Source organism: Homo sapiens, chromosome 3 (genome assembly GCF_000001405.40).
Source record: "Homo sapiens chromosome 3, GRCh38.p14 Primary Assembly".
NCBI lineage: Eukaryota > Metazoa > Chordata > Mammalia > Primates > Hominidae > Homo > Homo sapiens.
In genome coordinates, this window is record NC_000003.12 from 13,716,723 (window position 1) to 13,735,293 (window position 18,571).

An 18,571-nucleotide genomic window follows, 5' to 3' on the forward strand; every position below is an offset into this window, starting at 1 on the left:
CATTTGATCTGGCCTTTGAAGGATGCTTAGGAGTCCACCAACCAGAGAGGCAATGGAAATATGTGCAGGCCTGAGGCAAGAAGAAACCAGAGTGAGCCCAGCCAGAGACATAACACTGGGTCTGCCTTATCCTTGGGTATGGGAGCCAGGCAAAAGATGGAATGACAGCCTAAGAGACAGAAGCGGGGAACTGCAGGACCTGGGAGGGCAGTGAGTGGCCTGAGAAACCATCTCTGCAATTTAACCCTGGTGAAAATGGGAAGTGACAATGAGGCTGCTCAGCCCCAGAGTCCTCCCCTGACCCTCTCAGGATCCTGATCCTCTGTGAGGGGCAGCCCTGCCCTGGGAGAGACACAGGGATAGGCTGGGGTGACAAGGGCCTGTGCAGATGAGCAGCATGGGGGGATGTGGCTTTGGCGACCACGTTCTCTTCTGTATTCACTCTTCGTTTGGCCAATGGTTTGACTCAGGGCATAAATAGTTTTTGCTCCAAGCTAGGGCATTTTGGGAATGAACAGGGGCATGATTAACAGCTACCCCAGGATGACAGGTGCAAATCCAGACATTTGGTCACACAGATTACATGGCACCTCTCATGAGCTTGACAATTATTAATCCATTTAATCCTCCTGAAAACCTCAAAAAGAAGGTTGTTATTATCCCCACTTTGCAGATGATGAAACTGAGGCACAGAGAAAAGAAATGCATGCATATTAGCACCTACTCTGGATTGGGCACTGAGCTAGGCCATTTTACATAAATCTTGTTTAACCCTGACAATAGATATGCAAAAGACATGCTGGGAACCCTGTTTACTGATGACAAAACAGGCTCTGAGACCCAATCTGTCCAACTGATCCTCAACCTTAGCCTCTTCCGCTGCCCGACTGGGTCTCTTAAGAACATCTGTCCGATCTGAATCTCTGGCCTGCCTGTGTGTGTGTGTTTTTTAAATTTATTTTCAGTCCCCTCGCCCTCCTTGGATTGCAGCAAGGAAAGAGGTGTGTCTTCCGCAGAAAAATGTGCATGTTCTTTTAGGTGAGATGGGAACAATGCGGGGAGGGGGCCTGGCTATGAGGGCAGGGGCTGTGGGTGGGGTGGGGGAGTGGACTGTTGGCAGCAGAACCTGCTAGGTAGGCTCACTAGACTCAGACACGCACGCTCTCTCTCTCTCTCTCAAGAAAACAGGTGCACAAATTATTAGGTTGGTACAAAGTAATTGTGGTTTTTGCTATTAAAGTAATGGCAAAAACTGCAATTATTTTTGCACCAACCAAATACATCCATGTGGATGGGGCAGCCTTTTCCAAGGGATTCCACCATGCAGGGCTGGATCTGGCCTCCTGGCTGTGTGACTTTGTGCATTGTCCTTCCCTCTCTGGGCTGTGGTGCCCCAGCTGGAACTCCAAGGGCTGAGACTCAAGGGCCTTGTAGAGCCTTGGCTCTGTACCCAGCTCTGTGGTGGATTCAGGGTTAGGGGGCCTGGGTTCAAATCCAGACCCTGCCTTTTCAGATGTGTGGCCTCCGAGCAAGGTATTTAGCCTGCCTCTATGTGCTCACCTGGAAAATGGGGTGATGAAGAAGATGATGATGATAATGGGAACTCCCTCTTGGAGCTGCTGTGCAGATGAAGTGAGTGAATATAAGATGGATGCTTAGAGCAGTGCACGGAAGAGCTGTGCTGTTTGTTATTATCTTCTAGGGGAAACACAAGAAAACCAACTTAGGGAGGAGGCAGCCTGTCCTGGAAGGGGAGGTCCCCACAAAGAACACTGACTCCAGCCAGCTCCTATCTTCAGGCCAAAGTCCCAGCCCAGGGTTTGCTGTGAGGTGGGGGCCTCTAGAGTCTGAAGGGCATGTCTGGTGTGGGCAGGCCCAACCTGACCAGGCACCAGAAACAGACAGGACATTGTGCACTGATAGGAGTCCTACAGGCTGAGGGAGCTGTGCCCGGGCACCCGCTGGGAACCAGGCGGCAGTGGAGGGTGGGGAGTGGGCCTTGTGCCCGGGAATGCGGCCCCACCACCACAGCCAGAGATGGAGGGGACTACAGCCCCCAGCCAGCCCGGCGTCTCCCCAGTCTCAGTCAGTTGGGTGCCACCTTTGAGATTTTTGCCTTATGAGTGAGCATTACTATAATTTATTTCATGGTTGTCTTAATTTTTAATTTATTTTTACATTTAATTTTTGTTTGGATCTGAGCTGTGCTCACATGGTTCAGAAATCAAAAGTTTAGTAAGTGCTTTCAGGGGAGTCTGCCTCCCATCCTGTCTCCCACCCCGGCCCCTCCCCCAAAGCCATGATTATTATTTTACATCAACGAATATGAACTATATGTATTTGATATATTTTTCCAATTCAAAGACAATTTTTAGTATGCAATGCACACTGCCCTACAACACGCTTTTCTCACTTAGTATTTTTAACTTCTCTACTTAAGTGAGTGTAAATGAAAAAATACACCACCACCTTCTGTAAACAGAAGGTAGCTATGACAATAGCACATGGTGATGGAGCAAGACCATTACGTTCCAGTGGGGTCCTGTTGTCTGGGGAGCCCCTGAGCTCAAGGTCTGACCTCTACTCCCTAGTTCCAGAGGGACTAGCAACTGTTGATGGCACACTGAGGACACCCAACACCAAGCTGACACTTTGGCCGGGAAGTAATCAAAAGGACTAAAAAGATTTGGACAGGAAATGCCTCTCCTCATCCTGGTCCTGGTGTATAGCAGCATTGCCATTCCAACAGTGGTGTAAGTCCACACTTTGGGAAACCCTCATCTAGTCCAACAACCCTGGCACTTTAAAGACGGGTAAACTGAGGCTCAGAAAGGGTGGAGGACTTAAAATGATGCAGCTAGTTGGTGCAGAGCCTGGGCAACACCTCAGGTTCCCAGGACCCTATCTACAGCCCCTGGACTAGGCAAATGGGCTTTGTTTGGAAACAAATGTGCCCAATCCCTGCTCCTCCTCAGCCCCCTCCCCAACCCCAAATTTTCATTTAGTGAACCTCTACAATTTCATCTAGATTATCTAATTTGTTGGCATACAATTGTTCGTAGTATTCCATTTTATTTCTTTAATATTCCATTTTATTTCTTTAAGGTTGGTAGTAATGTCCCCTCTTTAATTTCTGATTTTAATAATTTGAGTCTTATATACTTTTTCTTGGTCAATCTTATACATTCTGTTAATCTTTTTTTCAGCTTTTGGTTTCATTGATTTTCTCTTTTGTTTTTCTATTTTCTATTTCATTAATTTCCTTTAATTAATCTTTATGATGTCCTTCCTTCAGCTTGCTTTAAATTTAGTTTGCTTTTCATTTTTCACTGTCTTGAAGGTGGAACTTAGATAATTAATTTGAGATCTTTCTCATTTTTGAACCTAGGAACTTACAACTATAAATTTCCTTCTAACCACTGATTTAACTGTATCTCATAAATTTTGTGATGCTGTGTCTTAATTTTCATTCATTTTAAATATTTTCATTTCATTAAAAGTATTTTCTAATTTCCCCTGTGATTTCTCTTTTGATTCATTAAAGTGTGTTGTTTAATAGCCACATATTTGTGAGTTTCCAAAATTTCTTTCTGTTAATGTTAACCAATTTTATTCTTTTATGGTTAGAGAACATACGTTCTATGATTTCTGTCCTTTTAAACGTATTGGTGTTTATTTTGTGGCCTAAGATACAGTCTATCCTGGAGAATGTTCCATGTACCCTTGAACGCATATTCTGCTGTTGTTGGGTAGAGTGTATTGTTTTGTTTTGCTTTTTGAGACGGAGTCTCACTCTGTTGCCAAGCTGGAGTGCAGTGGTGTGATCTTGGCTCACTGCAGCCTCCACCTCCTGGGTTCAAGCGATTCTCCTGCCTCAGCCTCCCAGGTAGCTGGGACTACAGGCGGGACTACAGTCATGCACCACCATGCCCAGCTAATTTTTGTATTCTTAGTAGAGACGGGGTTTCACCATGTTGACCAGGATGGTCTCCATATCTTGACCTTGTGATCTGCCCGCCTCAGCCTCCCAAAGTGCTAGGGTTACAGGCGTGAGCCACTGCACCTGGCCGGGTAGAGTGTTTGATAGAAGCCTGTTAGGGCTAGTTGGTTTATAGTATTGTTAAAGTCATTTGTTTCCTTTTTGATCTTTTGCCAATTTTTTGTGTACATTATTAAAAATAAGATATTGTAATTTATAATTATTATTGTTGAACTATCTTTCTAGATTAGATATTCTAGAATTAGAATATCTAATTCTATTGTTGAATTATTTTTCCCTTCAATTCTGTCAGTTTTTCCTTCATGTACACTGGGGCTCTGGTGTTGGCTGCACATATGTTTATAATTGTTATATCTTCCTGATCTAAAGAGTATTTCTTATAGACAGCATATAGTTGGATCTTGGTGTTTTTTTTTTTTTTTTTTTTTTTTAAATCCAGTCTGGAAATCTCTGCCTTTTGATTGGATTGTTTAATCCAGTCACATTAATGGTATTATTGATGTCATTGAATTAACATCCACCATTCCACCATTTTACTTTTTGTTTTCTCATGTCTTTTCTGTTCCTCTGTCATTATTACTTTATTTCCTATTAAGTGATTTTTAAAATGTAGCATGTATACCTCTTTAATTATTTTTACTACATATTTTTTAGTTATTTTCTTAATGATTGCTCTAGGGCTTTCCCTATACGTCTTACATTTTCAGAATCAGCTTTAGATTTATATTAACTTAAATTCAGCTAGAAATTGAAATATTACTTCAATGCAGCTCTATTCCTCCCTTTCTTTTAGTGATATTGTTATACATATCTATAAATATTACAAACAAAATAATACATTATTATAGAATTATTATTTTATGTAATTTTATATTTTTGAAGACAATATATCATCTTAAATTTTCAGAATCACTTTTAGATTTATATTACCTTAAATTCAGTTAGAAATTGAAATATTACTTCAATGCAGCTCTATTTCTCCCTTTATTTTAGTGATATTGTTGTTACACATATTGCATCTATAAATAGTACAAACACAATAGTTCATTATTATAAAATTATTATTCTATACAATTTTATATTTTTGAAGAAGCTAAGAGTAGAAAGAAGAACAAGTATATCGTATAGCTTTTGTTATGTTACCCTTCTGGTGGGCATTTCTGGTTGTCTTCATTGGTTCTTGTGGATTTGGGTTACCATCTGGAGTCATTTTCTTATCCCAGTACAGCTTTTCTCTCACACATCTCCTTGTGCTGTAATTGGTAAATATATTATATGTCTGTATGATAGGGCCAATAATACATTATATGCAAATTGCTTCATATAATTACTTTTTAAATCAATTAATGGAAGGAAAAAGTACGCATTTGTAGTGCCTTTTATACTTGCATAATTGCTTTTTTTCATGTGGAATCAAATAATCATCAGGGGTCATTTGTTTTCAGTCTGAAGAACTTCCTTTAGTATCTGTTGTTAAGGCTGATCTGCTAGTAAATAAATTATCCTAGTTTTGTTTATCTTGTAATGTCTTGAATTAACCATCATTTTCAAAAGACAGCTATGCTGGATCTAGGATGTTTAGTTGACAGTTTTTTTCTTTGAGCACTCTGAATATGTTATCCCATTGCCTTCTGACTTCCATTATTCCTGATGAGAAGTTCATTGTTAATCTTATCAGGATTCTCTTGTAAACTGAGTCATTTTTCTTTCATTGCTTTTGAGGTTTTCTTCTTGTCTTTGGGTTTCAACATTTTTACTCTGATTTGTCTGTTTGTGGATCTCTTTGTGTTTATTCTACTCAGAGTTCATTGAGATTCCTAGATGTATAGATTAATGTTTTTCAGTAAATTTGGGTTGCTTTCAGCCATTAATTCTTTTAATATCTTTTCTGATTCTTTCTCCTTCTTCTTTCCTTCTAATACTCCCACTACATGTATTTGTTGTGCTTAATGATGTGCCACATTTCTCTCAGGCTCTGTTCATTTTTCATCATTTTTTTCTCTCTGCTCTTAGATTTCATAAGCTCTATCAACTTTTCTTCAATTTCACTAATTCTTCTGCCAGGTCAAATACACTGTTGAGCTCCTCTAGTTAATTTTTTGAAAATCTCAGTTATTGTACTTTTAACTCCCGATTTCCATTCGATTATTTTAAAAAATAATTTCTATCTGTTTATTAATATCTCCACTTAATGTGGCTTTGTCATCATATGTTCCTTTACTCCTTTAATCATGATTTCCTTAAAGTTATTTGAACATATTTACAATTACCACTTTTAAGTCTTTGTGTGTTAAATCCAACATATGATTTCTCTCACAGGCAGTTTCTTTTGCTTGCTTTTTTACCTCCTGGTGTATGAGTCATACTTTCTTGTTTCTTTGTATGTCTCTTAAGTTTTTTGTTGTTGAAAAGTAGACATTGTAAATAATGTAGCAACTCTGGATAAATTAGTCCTTCCTTCTGGAACTTATTTACTTGTTTACTTTTTTGTGACTTGCTGGATTATTTTAGTTAAGTTGATTTTCCTGCATGAAGGCTCTGGTATTGCTCTTAGAGGGTACATCCTTGGGTATGCCCACAGTCACCCTGAGATGACAGTGGTTTTTGCAGGGCTGTCTTTAATTTTATCTTTCTCTGACCACACTCATCTGTTAAGTTCCACTAATTGGTGGCTGATTGCCCTATTGTTTTCAACACTACATATATTTCTTTAAAGACTGATCCCATCAAAGCCAGACTCCTTTGAGCAGATAGTTCCTGAGGTCAGTGTTTGAGATCTGTTGTGACCCCCAGGAGGACTCTTTCCAGCTGTCTCTTTCCTTGATTCTCTCCAGTAAAATAGCTGTTTATGGTTTAGCCTATATCTCCAATGAACCCATCAATTTCCTCCCAGTTGCCTTTCACCACAACCTGCAATGTTTTTGAGAGGGGTCTTAGGCTTAAACTTGTCCACATTTGGTTGCAAATGAAGTCAGTTCCTTTGGGGAGAAATTTAGAGCTCTCTCTTCTATGGTCTGCTTCTTCCTCCAGGCAAAAATCTCTGAAGCAAAGCTCTAGTGCTGGAAGTGTGGCAATGGTAAACTTTTCTCTGAATGACACACCAGATTTAGGAATTGAGTGCTCAGTGTATAGGGGAAACAGCCTCAGGTCTCCTCAGCTTGCCTCTCTGTATGGAATCCTTGCTCCATCAGTGGGGCAAGAGTGATTGGGTCTCCAGTAGTCTCTGTGGATCTGTGCCCAAGGTAGAACCTCCATGCCATGAGTTGGGCCGGATAGAAGAAGGGAGCCCTCACTGCCTGGCTGAACTTGCCTGGAACATAGAATCAGCAACAGGCAGCTGCGAACAGGATGAGAAATGCTGACATTGTGCGCCTCTCGGGAAGCTAGCTCCTGACTAGGAGCTGGAAGGAGAGGAAACCCTGTGTTCTTGGCTGTACCCATATGGAGTAAAGTTTCTGTCTCACTGAGCTGGATGAGAGGAGGAATAAAGTGATTTTTTTGTCTTTTTGTTGTATCAGTTACTGTGGGTTTAAACACAACAGACTCTTGCTGTTCTTCCTGAATTTTAGTATATTTGAAAAAATAAATGTTTATTAATTAGCTGTACACCCTTAGAATTACTTCCAGATACATTAAATGATTGTTAAGAATTTTTTTTTCACCAGTTACTCTGGGAGTGGTCCATAGGATATCTCACACTATCATGCAGGAAGTAGAACTCACAAAGATATTGCCTCATAATAGTTTTTAGAAGCTACATTACTTCACCTTTCATATTTAGGTCTACGATTCTCCTGAATTTATATTTTTGTATATGATGTGAGGTAGGGGTCAGGTTTCCTTTTTCTCCTGTATTGAAGAGACCATCCCTTCCCCATTGCCCAGAAGAGTCTCCTTTGTCATAACTCAAATGTTCAAATATGGCTGGGACTGTTTCTAAACTTTGTATGCTGCTGTACTGATCTATTTATCTATTCTTGTGCCAAGAGCACATTGTGTTAATTATAAAAACTTTGTGATCAATTTTTATATTGAACTTGGCTATTCTTAGCCTCTTATATATTCGTACAAAATTTAGAATTATTTTATCAATTTTCACAAAATAACCTGTTGTATTTTTTATTGGAATTGCATTGATTGATTCTTTAGATTACTTAGGTGTAAACTCTTGAACATGCTTTTATCTCCTTTTATTTAGGTCAAGAGTTGGCAAACCATGACTAGTGGGTCAAATCTTGCTGATAGCCTGTTTTTGTATGACCCTGGAGCTAAGCATCATTTTCATTTTTAAAGAGACTTTTTTATATGAAAAGAATAACATGTGAAAGAGACCATATCACTGAATTTTAATTACTATTATTTTAAGATTTTTGCTTATTTGTTCATAAATAAGATTGGGCTGTAGTTTTCTTTCTTATGATTCCCTTGTTGAGTCTAGGGTTTGGACATCAACATTATACTGCTCTCATAAAACTAATGGGGGAGTTTATCTCTTTTTCTATTTTCTGGAAAATTTGCAGAAAATTATTTTGTTTCTCCATGGTTTTTGTAGAATTTGCCAGTATATTTATTTTCTGCATGAAAAATATTTAAATACAGATGAAAATTTGAAAATGGTTAAATGACATTTCTATTTCTTCTTGTCACCATTTGATACATTGCCTTTTAAAGAAAAATTTGTCCATTTTACCTAATTTTCAAATTTATAGGTATAAAATTGTTTGTAACATCATTTTTTAAGTGTCTATAGGATCTATAGAAATATCTCCTTTTTAATTCCTATTATTAATAATTTGTGTATTTACTCTCTCATTTTCTTGATCAGTTTTGTAAGGAGTTTATTGACCTTATTGCTTTTTTCAAAAAGATAAACTTTTGGCATTATTGATCATCTTTGCTATGTTTTCTGTTTTATTAATTTCTGGTATTTATTATTTTCCTTCTCTTACTTTCTTTGGGTTTATTTTGTTATCCTTTTCTAACTTCTTGTGATGGGTCACTGATTTCTCAGCCTTTCTTCTTTTCAAATACTAGAAGTATTAAATTAGCCATTAATCATTGCATTAGCTTTAGCCAAAAGTTTTGATATGTAGCATTTTCATTACCTTTCACTTAAATATATTTTCGAATTTTATTGTGATTCCTTCTTTGATCTATTGGTTATTTTCAAGTGTATTTTTTAATTTCAAAAAAAGTGATAATTTACAATACAATTAAGGTAGAAATATATTACCCCCTGCCTCCCTCCCAAATTATTGATTTCTACCTTAATTGTATTTTGGTGACAGAATGTATTCTAGGTGATTTCAAATCTTTGACCTGTGTTAAAAGTTGCTCTGCAGCTTAAGATATGATCAATTTTTTTATCAATGCTCCATCTGTGTTTGAAAAAAACAAACATTTTGTACTTGTAGATGCAATGTTGTATGTGTTAGGTAAATCTGTTTCTTGTAGAAAGCATATAGCTGTATGCATATAGGATCATATTAGTATCTACCCTGCCAATCTGTAATTTACATTTAATATAATGACATTTAAATTTAATGTAATTAATTTTTGCCTGGTAAGGGCTATGTCTGCCATTTGCTTTTCGTTTTTTCCCTCTGTTTCTATTTCTCCATTTTTTCCCTCATTTCCTGTGGTTACTTAGACAATTATTAGAATCACATTTTGATTTATCTACAGTGTATTTGTGTGTATCTCTTTGTATAGATTTTTTGTGGTTACTATAGATATTATATGGTACATACATAACTTATCAGAGCCTACTAAGTATTGACATTTTACCAACTTGAGTAAAGTGCAGAAACCTATCTCTCTTCACATTCCTTTGCCCTCTCTCATTTATAATTTGTCTTAAATATTTGCTCTGCATACATTGAGAACTACATCAGATAATTTTAAAAGTTTTGTGACTCCAACAAAATTTTGAAAACTCAAGAGGAGAAAGAACATCTACTGTATTTACCCATACTTTCATTCTTTCTTTTCCTTCTTGATGTTCCAAAATTCCTTTTTTTAAATTACTTATTTTCTCTTTCAAGAACTTCCTTTAGCCATTATTTTAGGTTAGGTCTGCTGGTGACAATCTCTTAGTTTTACTTCATCTAAGAATATCTTGATTTTCTCTTCGTTTCTGAAGAATAATTTTGTTTGGTATAGGATTCTGAGTTAAGTGTTCTGTTCTTTCAGCACTTTGAAAAATGTCATGCCAATTTCTTCTGGTCTCTATGGTTTCTGATGAGAAATCTACTGTCATCTGAATGGTTTTCTCACATAGGAAAGTGTCATATTTCTCTCACAGCTTTCAAGATTTTTTCTTTGTCTTTTGTTTTCAGGAGTTTAATTGTGGTATGTCTTGGTGTGGATATCTTTGAGTGTATCTTATCTGGCATCAGCTCAGCTCTTGAGTATTTTCAGTCATTATTTCTTTGGATACTTTTTCATCCTCACACTTTTTCCTCTCCTCTGGGGACTTTGATGACATGTTAGTTTTTTTTTTTTTTTTTTTTTTTTTTTTTTTTTTTTTTTTTTTTGATAGTCCCATAGGTTGCAGAGGCTCTGCTGTTTTTTTTTTTTCTGTTTATTTTCTTTCTTTATGCAGATAAGGCAATGTCTATTGCTCTATCTTCAAGTTCATGGATTCTTTCCTTTACTCCCTCCATTCTGCTGTTGAACCTATCCATTGAGTTTTTAATTCAGTTATGTATTTTCCAGTTATAAGATTTCCATTTTGTCCTTCTATATGTCTTCTATTTCTTTGTTGAAATTTTCTATTTTTTCACTTGTTTCAAGTATGCTTATAATTGCTAGTGGAAGAATTTTTATGATGGCTGCTTTAAAATCCTTGTCAGATCATTCTAATTTCTGTGTCATCTTAGTGTTGGCATTTGTTAATGTCTTTTCTCATTCTAGTTGAGTTTTTCTTGGTTCTTGGTGTGATTGTATCCTGAACATTTTGTGTGATACATTAAGAAGCTCTGAATCTTCAATTAGGAGTGGAGGTCTAGGTTTTTTTGTTGTTGTTGCTTTTTTTTTTTTTTTTTTTTGAGACAGAGTCTTGCTCTGTTGCCAGGCTGGAGTGCAGTGGTGCAATCTCAGCTCACTGCAACCTCCGCCTCCCGGATTCAAGCGATTCCCCTGCCCCAGCCTCCCAAGTAGCTGGGGTTACAGGCATGTGCCACCATGCCTGGCTAATTTTTTGTATTTTAGAAGAGACGTGGTTTCACCACGTTGGCCAAGAAGGTCTCCATCTCCTGACTTTGTTATCTGCCCACCTCGGCCTCCCAAAGTGCTGGGGTTACAGGCATAAGCCACTGTGCCCGGCCGGTCCAGGTTTTTTAATAGGCCTCCATGGACATCCCCCAGAGCTGACAGTTTGTTACTGCTGGGCGCGGAAAGTCCTCAGTAGGCCTCTGCCGACACAATATGGCTTTGAGGGAGAGGGACACTTTGTTACCTCTCATGTGGCTTCCACTGACATAATGGGGCAGGTTTCTCATTACCACTAGGCAATGGTGAAAATCTTGTTTTCCACTTGGCCTTCTCTGACAACACCCAGAGGGGAGAAGGAGGGACAACTTATTATTACTGGGTGGGGACAAATGTCCTGGCTCCCTACTCAACTTTTGCTGATAAGAGTGGGGCTGAGTACACAGGTTTTTTTGTTTTTTGTTTTGCCATGTAGGAATAGGGCTGTTTGGAGGGCAGTTATTTTCTTAAAATTTTCTGTCTGGCTAGGTTGCTTCTTTCCTGGTCCTTTGGCTACAGAAATCAGGCTTTAAGTAGGACTTTAAAATTTCTATAACCATTGGTGTTTCTGGTTTTTCTAGCACACAGTCCGAGATCTAGGAGGCAAAAGGACACTTCAGGGAGCACACTGTTAATGTTGCTTCTTGGGTCTCAAGGTCTTTAGCTGTCTGCTCTCTTCTCTCCACTTTCTGGCGTCTTACCATTGTTTTACATATGAAATGAGGTTTTTAAGCTGTAGTTAAGAGAAGAATAGGCCAAATTGCAACTACTCCATCTTGTCCTGTGTGAAGATTTTCATTCTTAATTCAATTTCTTTATTATAGTTGTATTCAGATTTTCTATTTTTTCTTTAATCAATTTTGTTTATTTGTGTCTGTTGGAAATTTGCCTATTTCCTCTAAGTTGTCTAATTTGTTGGTATAAAGTTGCTTATAACATTTTCTTATAATCCATTTCAGGGTAAGTAGGGATGTCTCCTCTTTAATTCCTGATTTTGGTGATTTGTGCCTTCTGTCTTTTTTTCCGGGTCAGTCTAGCTGAAGGTTCATCAATTTAATTAATCTTTTCAAAGAACCAAATTTTGGTTTTATTGATTTACTCTACTGTTTATTTCTTATTGATTTCTGTTCTAACCTTTGTTACTTGCTTTCTTCTGTTTTCTTTGCATTTAGCATACTCTTCATTTTCTAGTTTCTTAAGATGGAAAGTTTAAATGTCCTGCTAAACACTAGTTTAGTGCATCCCATAAATTCTGATATTAAAAAAATTAGGTCAAAATATTTTCTAACTTTCTTCATTATTTATTTTGCACTCATGGGTTATTTGGAAGTGTGTGAGTTTCCAAATAGTTGAGGATTTCCCAGGTTTCTTTCTGTTGTTGATTTCTAATTTAATTTCTTTGTGGTTAGGGAACATATTTTGTATGGCTTCAATTTTAAAAATGTATTGGGACTTGCTTGTGGCCTAACATATAGTTTATCCTGAAAAATGTCCCGTGTGCACTTGAGAGGAATGTATAGTCTGCTGTTGTTGGGTGGAGTGTTCTATAGATGTCTGTTAGATCCAGTTGGTTGTTCATGTCTGCTATTTCCTTGTTAATCTCCTTCCTGAGTGTTCTATCCATGATTAAAAGTGGAGTTTTAAGTCCAACTATTGTTGAATTGCCCATTTCTCTCTTCATTTCCGTCAGTTAAGGTTTGTGTATTTTAGGGCTCTGTTGTTGGAAAAAATATGTTTACAGTTACATGTTCCTGATAGAATGATCCATCTATTATCATAAAAATGTCCTTCTTTGTCTCCAATTATTATTGTTGAATTGTCTATTTTTTCTTTCAATTTTATTAGTTTTTCCTTCATTTTGAGGCTCTTATTAGATGTCTATATGTTTATAATTTTAAAAGTGAGGCAGTTATATCTTTCTGATGTACTTAATTTTTTCATTCTAACATGTCCTTTTTGTCTCTAGCAATATTTTTTTAGCCTGAAGTCTATTTTGTCTGATATTAATGTAGCCACTGTGGCTTTGTATAGTTATTATTGTACAGTATGGATCTTTTTCCATCCCTTTGCTTTCAACTAATTTGTGTCTTTAACTCTAAACTTTGTCTCTTATCAACAGTTTATAGTTAGATCTCACTTTTTTAATGCAGTCTAACCATCTGTGCCTTTATATTTGGGTAGTTAAATCATTTGCTTAATGTAACTATTAATATGGTTAGACTTAGATTGGCCATTTCACTATTGTTTTCTGTCTCCTGTCTTTTTTATTTCTCTGTTTTTCCTTGACTGCTTTCCTTCATGTTAAGTGAATATTATTTAGTGTACCATTTTAATTTCACCGATTTTTTTCTATATTTTTGGTTATTTTCTTAATGATTGTTATAGAGATTTCAATATGCATCTTAACTTATCACAGTCTACTTCAAAAAATTTTTAAAATTATGCTTTAAGTTCTGGGGTACGTGTGCAGAACGTGCAGGTTTTTTACATAGGTATACACATGCCATGGTGGTTTGCTGTACCCATCAACCTGTCATCTACATTAGATATTTCTCCTAATGCTATCCTTCCCCTAGCCCCCCATCCCCTGACAGGCCCCAGTGTGTAATGTTCCCCTCCCTATGTCCATGTGTTCTCATTGTTCAACTCCCACTTATGAGTGAGAATGTGTGGTGTTTGGTTTTCTGTTCTTGTGTTAGTTTGCTGAGAAGATGGTTTCCAGCTTCATCTATGTCCCTGCAAAGGACACGAACTCATCCTTTTTATGGCTGCATAGTATTCCATGGTATATATGTGATACATTTTCTTTATCCAGTCTATCAATGATGGGCATTTGGGTTGGTTCAAAGTCTTTGCTATTGTCAACAGTGCCGCAGTAAACATACATGTGCATGTGTCTTTATAGTAGAAGGATTTATAATCCTTTGGGTATATACCCAGTAATGGGATTGCTGGGTCAAATGGTATTTCTGGTTCTAGATCCTTGAGGAATCACCACACTGTCTTCCACAATTGTTGAACTAATTTACGCTCCCACCAACAGTGTAAAAGCATTCCTATTTCTTCACATCCTCTCCAGCATCTGTTGTTCCCTGACTTTTTAAGATCACCATTCTAACTGGCATGAGATGGTATCTCATTATGGTTTTGATTTGCGTTTCTCTAATGACCAGTGATGATGAGCTTTTTTTCATATGTTTGTTGGCTGCATAAATATCTTCTTTTGAGAAATGTCTGTTCATATCCTTTGCCCACTTTTTTATGGGGTTCTTTGTTTTTTTCTGTAAATTTGTTCAAGTTCTTTGTAGATTCTGGATATTAGTCCTTTGTCAGATGGATAGATGCAAAAATTTTCTCCCGTTCTGTAGGTTGCCTCATCATTCTGATGACAGTTTCTTTTGCTGTGCAGAAGCTCTTTAGTTTAATTAGATCCCATTTGTCAATTTTGGCTCCTGTGCCATTGCTTTTGGTGTTTTAGTCATGAAGTTTTTGCCCATGCCTATGTCCTGAGTGGTATTGCCTAGGTTTTCTTCTAGGGTTTTTATGGTTTTAGGTCTTATGTTTAAGTCTTTAATCCATCTTGAGTTAATTTTTGTATAAGGTGTAAGAAAAAGGTCCAGTTTCAGTTTTTTTGCATATGGCTAGCCAGTTTTCCCAACGCCATTTATTAAATAGGGAATCCTTTCCCCATTGCTTGTTTTTGTCAGGTTTGTCAAAGATCAGCTGGTTGTAGATTTGTGGTGTTATTTCTGAGGCCTCTGTTCTGTCCCATTGGTCTATATATCTGTTTTGGTACCAGTACCATGCTGTTTTTGTTCCTGTAGCCTTGTAGTATAGTTTGAAGTCAGGTAGGGTGATGCTTCCAGCTTTGTTCTTTTTGCCTAGGATTGTCTCAGCTTACAGGCTCTTTTTTGGTTCTATATGAAATTTAAAGTAGTTTTTTCTAATTCTGTGAAGAAAGTTGACGGTAGCTTGATGGGGTTAGCATTGAATCTATAAATTACTTTGGGCAGTATGGCTATTTTCATGATACTGATTCTTCCTATCCATGAGCATGGAATGTTTTTCCATTTGTTTGTGTCCCCTCTTATTTCCTTGAGCAGTGGTTTGTAGTTCTCCTTGAAGAGGTCCTTCATATCCCTTGTAAGTTGTATTCCTAGGTATTTTATTCTTTTTGTAGAAATTTTGAATGGGAGTTCACTCATGATTTGGCTCTCTGTTTGTCTATTATTCGTGTATAGGAATGCTTATGATTTTTGCACATTAATTTTGTATCCTGAGACTTTGCTGAAGTTGCTTATCAGCATAAGGAGATTTTGGGCTTGAGACGATGGGGTTTTCTAAATATACAATCATGTCATCTGCAAACAGAGACAGTTTGATTTCCTCTCTTCCTATTTGAATACCTTTATTTCTTTCTTTTGCCTGATTGCCCCGGCCGGAACTTGCAATACTAGGTTGAATAGGCATGGTGAGAGAGGGCATCCTTGTCTTGTGCTGGTTTTCAGAGGGAATGCTTCCAGTTTTTGCCCATTCAGTATGATATTGGCTGTGAGTTTCTATAAGTAGCTCTTGTTATTTTGAGATATGTTCCATCAATACCTAGTTTATTGAGAATTTTTAGCATGAAGGGGTGTCGAATTTTGTCAAATGCCTTTTCTGCATCTATTGAGATAATCATGTGGTTTTTGTCATTGGTTCTGTTCATGTGATGGATTACATTTGTTGATTTGCATATGTGGAACCAGTCTTGCATCCAGGGATGAAGCTGACTTGATTGTGGTGGATAAGCTTTTTGATGTGCTGCTGGATTTGGTTTGCCAGTATTTTATTGAGGATTTTTGCATCAATGTTCATCAGGGATACTGGCCTGAAATTTTCTTTTTTTTTGTTGTGTCTCTGCTGGGTTTGGGTATCAGGATGATGCTGGCCTCATAAAATGAGTTAGGGAGGATTCCCTCTTTTTCTATTGTTTGAAATAGTTTCAGAAAGAATGGTACCAGCTCCTTTTTATACCTCTCGTAAAATTCAGCTGTGAATCTGTCTGGTCCTGGACTTTTTTTGGTTGGTAGGCTATTAATTACTGCCTAAATTTCAGAACTTGTTACTGGTCTATTCAGGGATTCGACTTCTTCCTGGTTTAGACTTGGGAGGGTGTATGAGTCCAGGAATTTATCCATTTCTTCAAGATTTTCTAGTTCATTTGCATAGAGGTGTTTATAGTATTCTCTGATGGTAGTTTGTATTTCTGTGGGATCAGTGGTGATATTCCCTTTATCATTTTTTGTTGCGTCCATTTGATTCTTCTCTCTTACCTTCTTTATTAATCTTGCTAGCAGTCTATCTAGTTTGTTGATCATTTCAAAAAACCAGCTCATGGATTCATTGATTTTTTTGAAGGGATTTTTTTGTGTCTCTATCTCCTTCAGTTCTGTTCTGATCTTAGTTATTTCTTGTCTTCTGCTAGCTTTTGAATTTGTTTGGTCTTGCTTCTCTAGTTCTTTTCATTGTGATGTTAGGGTGTTGATATACGATCTTTCCTGCTTTCTCTCGTGGGCATTTAGTGCTATAAATTTCCCTCAAACACTGCTTTAAATGTGTCCCAGAGATTCTGGGACGTTGTGTCTTTTTTCTCATTGGTTTCAAAGAACTTATTTATTACTGCCTTAATTTTGTTATTTACCCAGTAGTCATTCAGTAGCAGGCTGTTCAGTTTCCATATAGTTGTGCGGTTTCGAGTGAGTTTCTTAATCCTGAGTTCCAATTTAATTGCACTGTGGTCTGAGAGACTGTTTGTTATGATTTCCATTCTTTTGCATTTGCTGAGGAGTGTTATACTTCCAATTATGTGGTCAAGTTTAGAATAAGTGCGATATGGTCCTGAGAAGAATGTATATTCTGTTGATTTGGGGTGGAGAGTTCTCTAGATGTCTATTAGATCTGCTTGGCCCAGAGCCAAGTACAAGTTCTGAATATCCTTGTTAATTTTCTGTCTTGTTAATCTGTCTAATATTGACAGTGGGGTGTTAAAATCTCCAACTACTGTTGTGTGGGAGTCTAAGTCTCTTTGTAGGTCTCTACAAACTTGCTTTTTGAATCTGGGTGCTCCTGTATTGGATGCATCTATATTTAGGATAGTTAGCTCTTCTTGTTGCATTGATCCCTTTACCATTATGTAATGCCCTTCTTTGTCTCTTTTGATCTTTGTTGGTTTAAAGTCTGTTTTATCAGAGAGCTAGGATTGCAACCCTTGCTTTTTTTTTGCTTTCAATTTGCTTGGTACATCTTCCTCCATCCCTTTATTTTGAGCCTTTGTGTGTCTTTGCAAGTGAGATGGGTCTCCTGAATACAGCACACTGATGGGTCTTGACTCTATCCAATTTGCCAGTCTGTGTCTTTTAATTGGGGCACTTAGCCCGTTTACATTTAAGGTTAATATTGTTTTGTGTGAATTTGATTTTGTTATTATGATGCTAGCTGGTTATTTTGCCTTTTAGTTGATGCAGTTTCTTCATAGTGTCAATGGTCTTTACAATTTGGTATGTTTTTGCAGTGGCTGGTCCCAGTTGTTCCTTTCCATGTTTAGTGCTTCCTTTAGGAGCTCTTGTAAGGCAGGCCTGGTGGTGACAAAATTTCTCAGCATTTGCTTGTCTGTAAAGGATTTTATTTCTCCTTCACTTATGAAGCTTAGTTTGGCTGGATATAAAATTCTGGGTTGAAAATTCTTTTCTTTAAGAATGTTGAATATTGGCCCCCACTCTCTTCTGGCTTGCAGGGTTTCTTATGAGAGATCCACTGTTAGTCTGATGGGCTTCCCTTTGTGGGTAAGCTGACCTTTCTCTCTGGCTGCCCTTAACATTTTTTCCTTCATTTCAACCTTGGTGAATCTGATGATTGTGTGTCTTGGGGTTGCTCTTCTCAAGGAGTATCTTTATGGTGGTCTCTGTATTTACTGAATTTGAATGTTGGGCTGTCTTGCTGGGTTGGGCAAGTTCTTCTGGATAATATCCTGAAGAGTGTTTTCCAACTTGGTTCCATTCTCCCTGTCACTTTCAGGTACACCAATCAGACGTAGATTTGGTCTTTTCACATAGTCCCATATTTCTTGGAGGCTTTGTTTGTTCCTTTTCATTCTTTTTTCTCTAATCTTGTCTTCTCACTTTATTTCATTAAGTTGATCTTCAGTCTCTGATATCCTTTCTTCAGCTTGATTGATTCAGCTATTGATACTTGTGTATGTTTCCCAAAGTTCTCATGCTGTGTTTTTCAGCTTCATCAGGTCATTTATGTTCTTCTCTAAAGTGGTTTTCTGGTTAGCAA

The 18,571-nt window shown here is 37.4% G+C and overlaps 1 long non-coding RNA gene across 1 annotated transcript in view, besides 2 other annotated features; it reads left to right on the top strand.

The window, feature by feature from the left end:
• Positions 1-18,571, top strand: part of LINC00620 (long intergenic non-protein coding RNA 620) — a 95,915-nt gene that overhangs the window by 66,002 nt on the left and 11,342 nt on the right. Inside the window, exons 3-4 of the long non-coding RNA NR_027103.1 lie at positions 966-1,038; positions 1,514-1,632. This is a non-coding gene — a long non-coding RNA (long intergenic non-protein coding RNA 620). The remainder of the gene's footprint in view (positions 1-965; positions 1,039-1,513; positions 1,633-18,571) is intronic.
• Positions 11,343-11,929: an enhancer, noted in NCBI's record as "OCT4-NANOG-H3K27ac-H3K4me1 hESC enhancer chr3:13769563-13770149 (GRCh37/hg19 assembly coordinates)". NCBI's record gives its function as "activates a minimal SCP1, AML or CMV promoter by ChIP-STARR-seq in naive H9 embryonic stem cells {active_cell/tissue: H9 hESC(naive)}" and the evidence as "EXISTENCE:reporter gene assay evidence [ECO:0000049][PMID:30033119]".
• Positions 11,930-12,516: an enhancer, noted in NCBI's record as "OCT4-NANOG-H3K27ac hESC enhancer chr3:13770150-13770736 (GRCh37/hg19 assembly coordinates)". NCBI's record gives its function as "activates a minimal SCP1, AML or CMV promoter by ChIP-STARR-seq in naive H9 embryonic stem cells {active_cell/tissue: H9 hESC(naive)}" and the evidence as "EXISTENCE:reporter gene assay evidence [ECO:0000049][PMID:30033119]".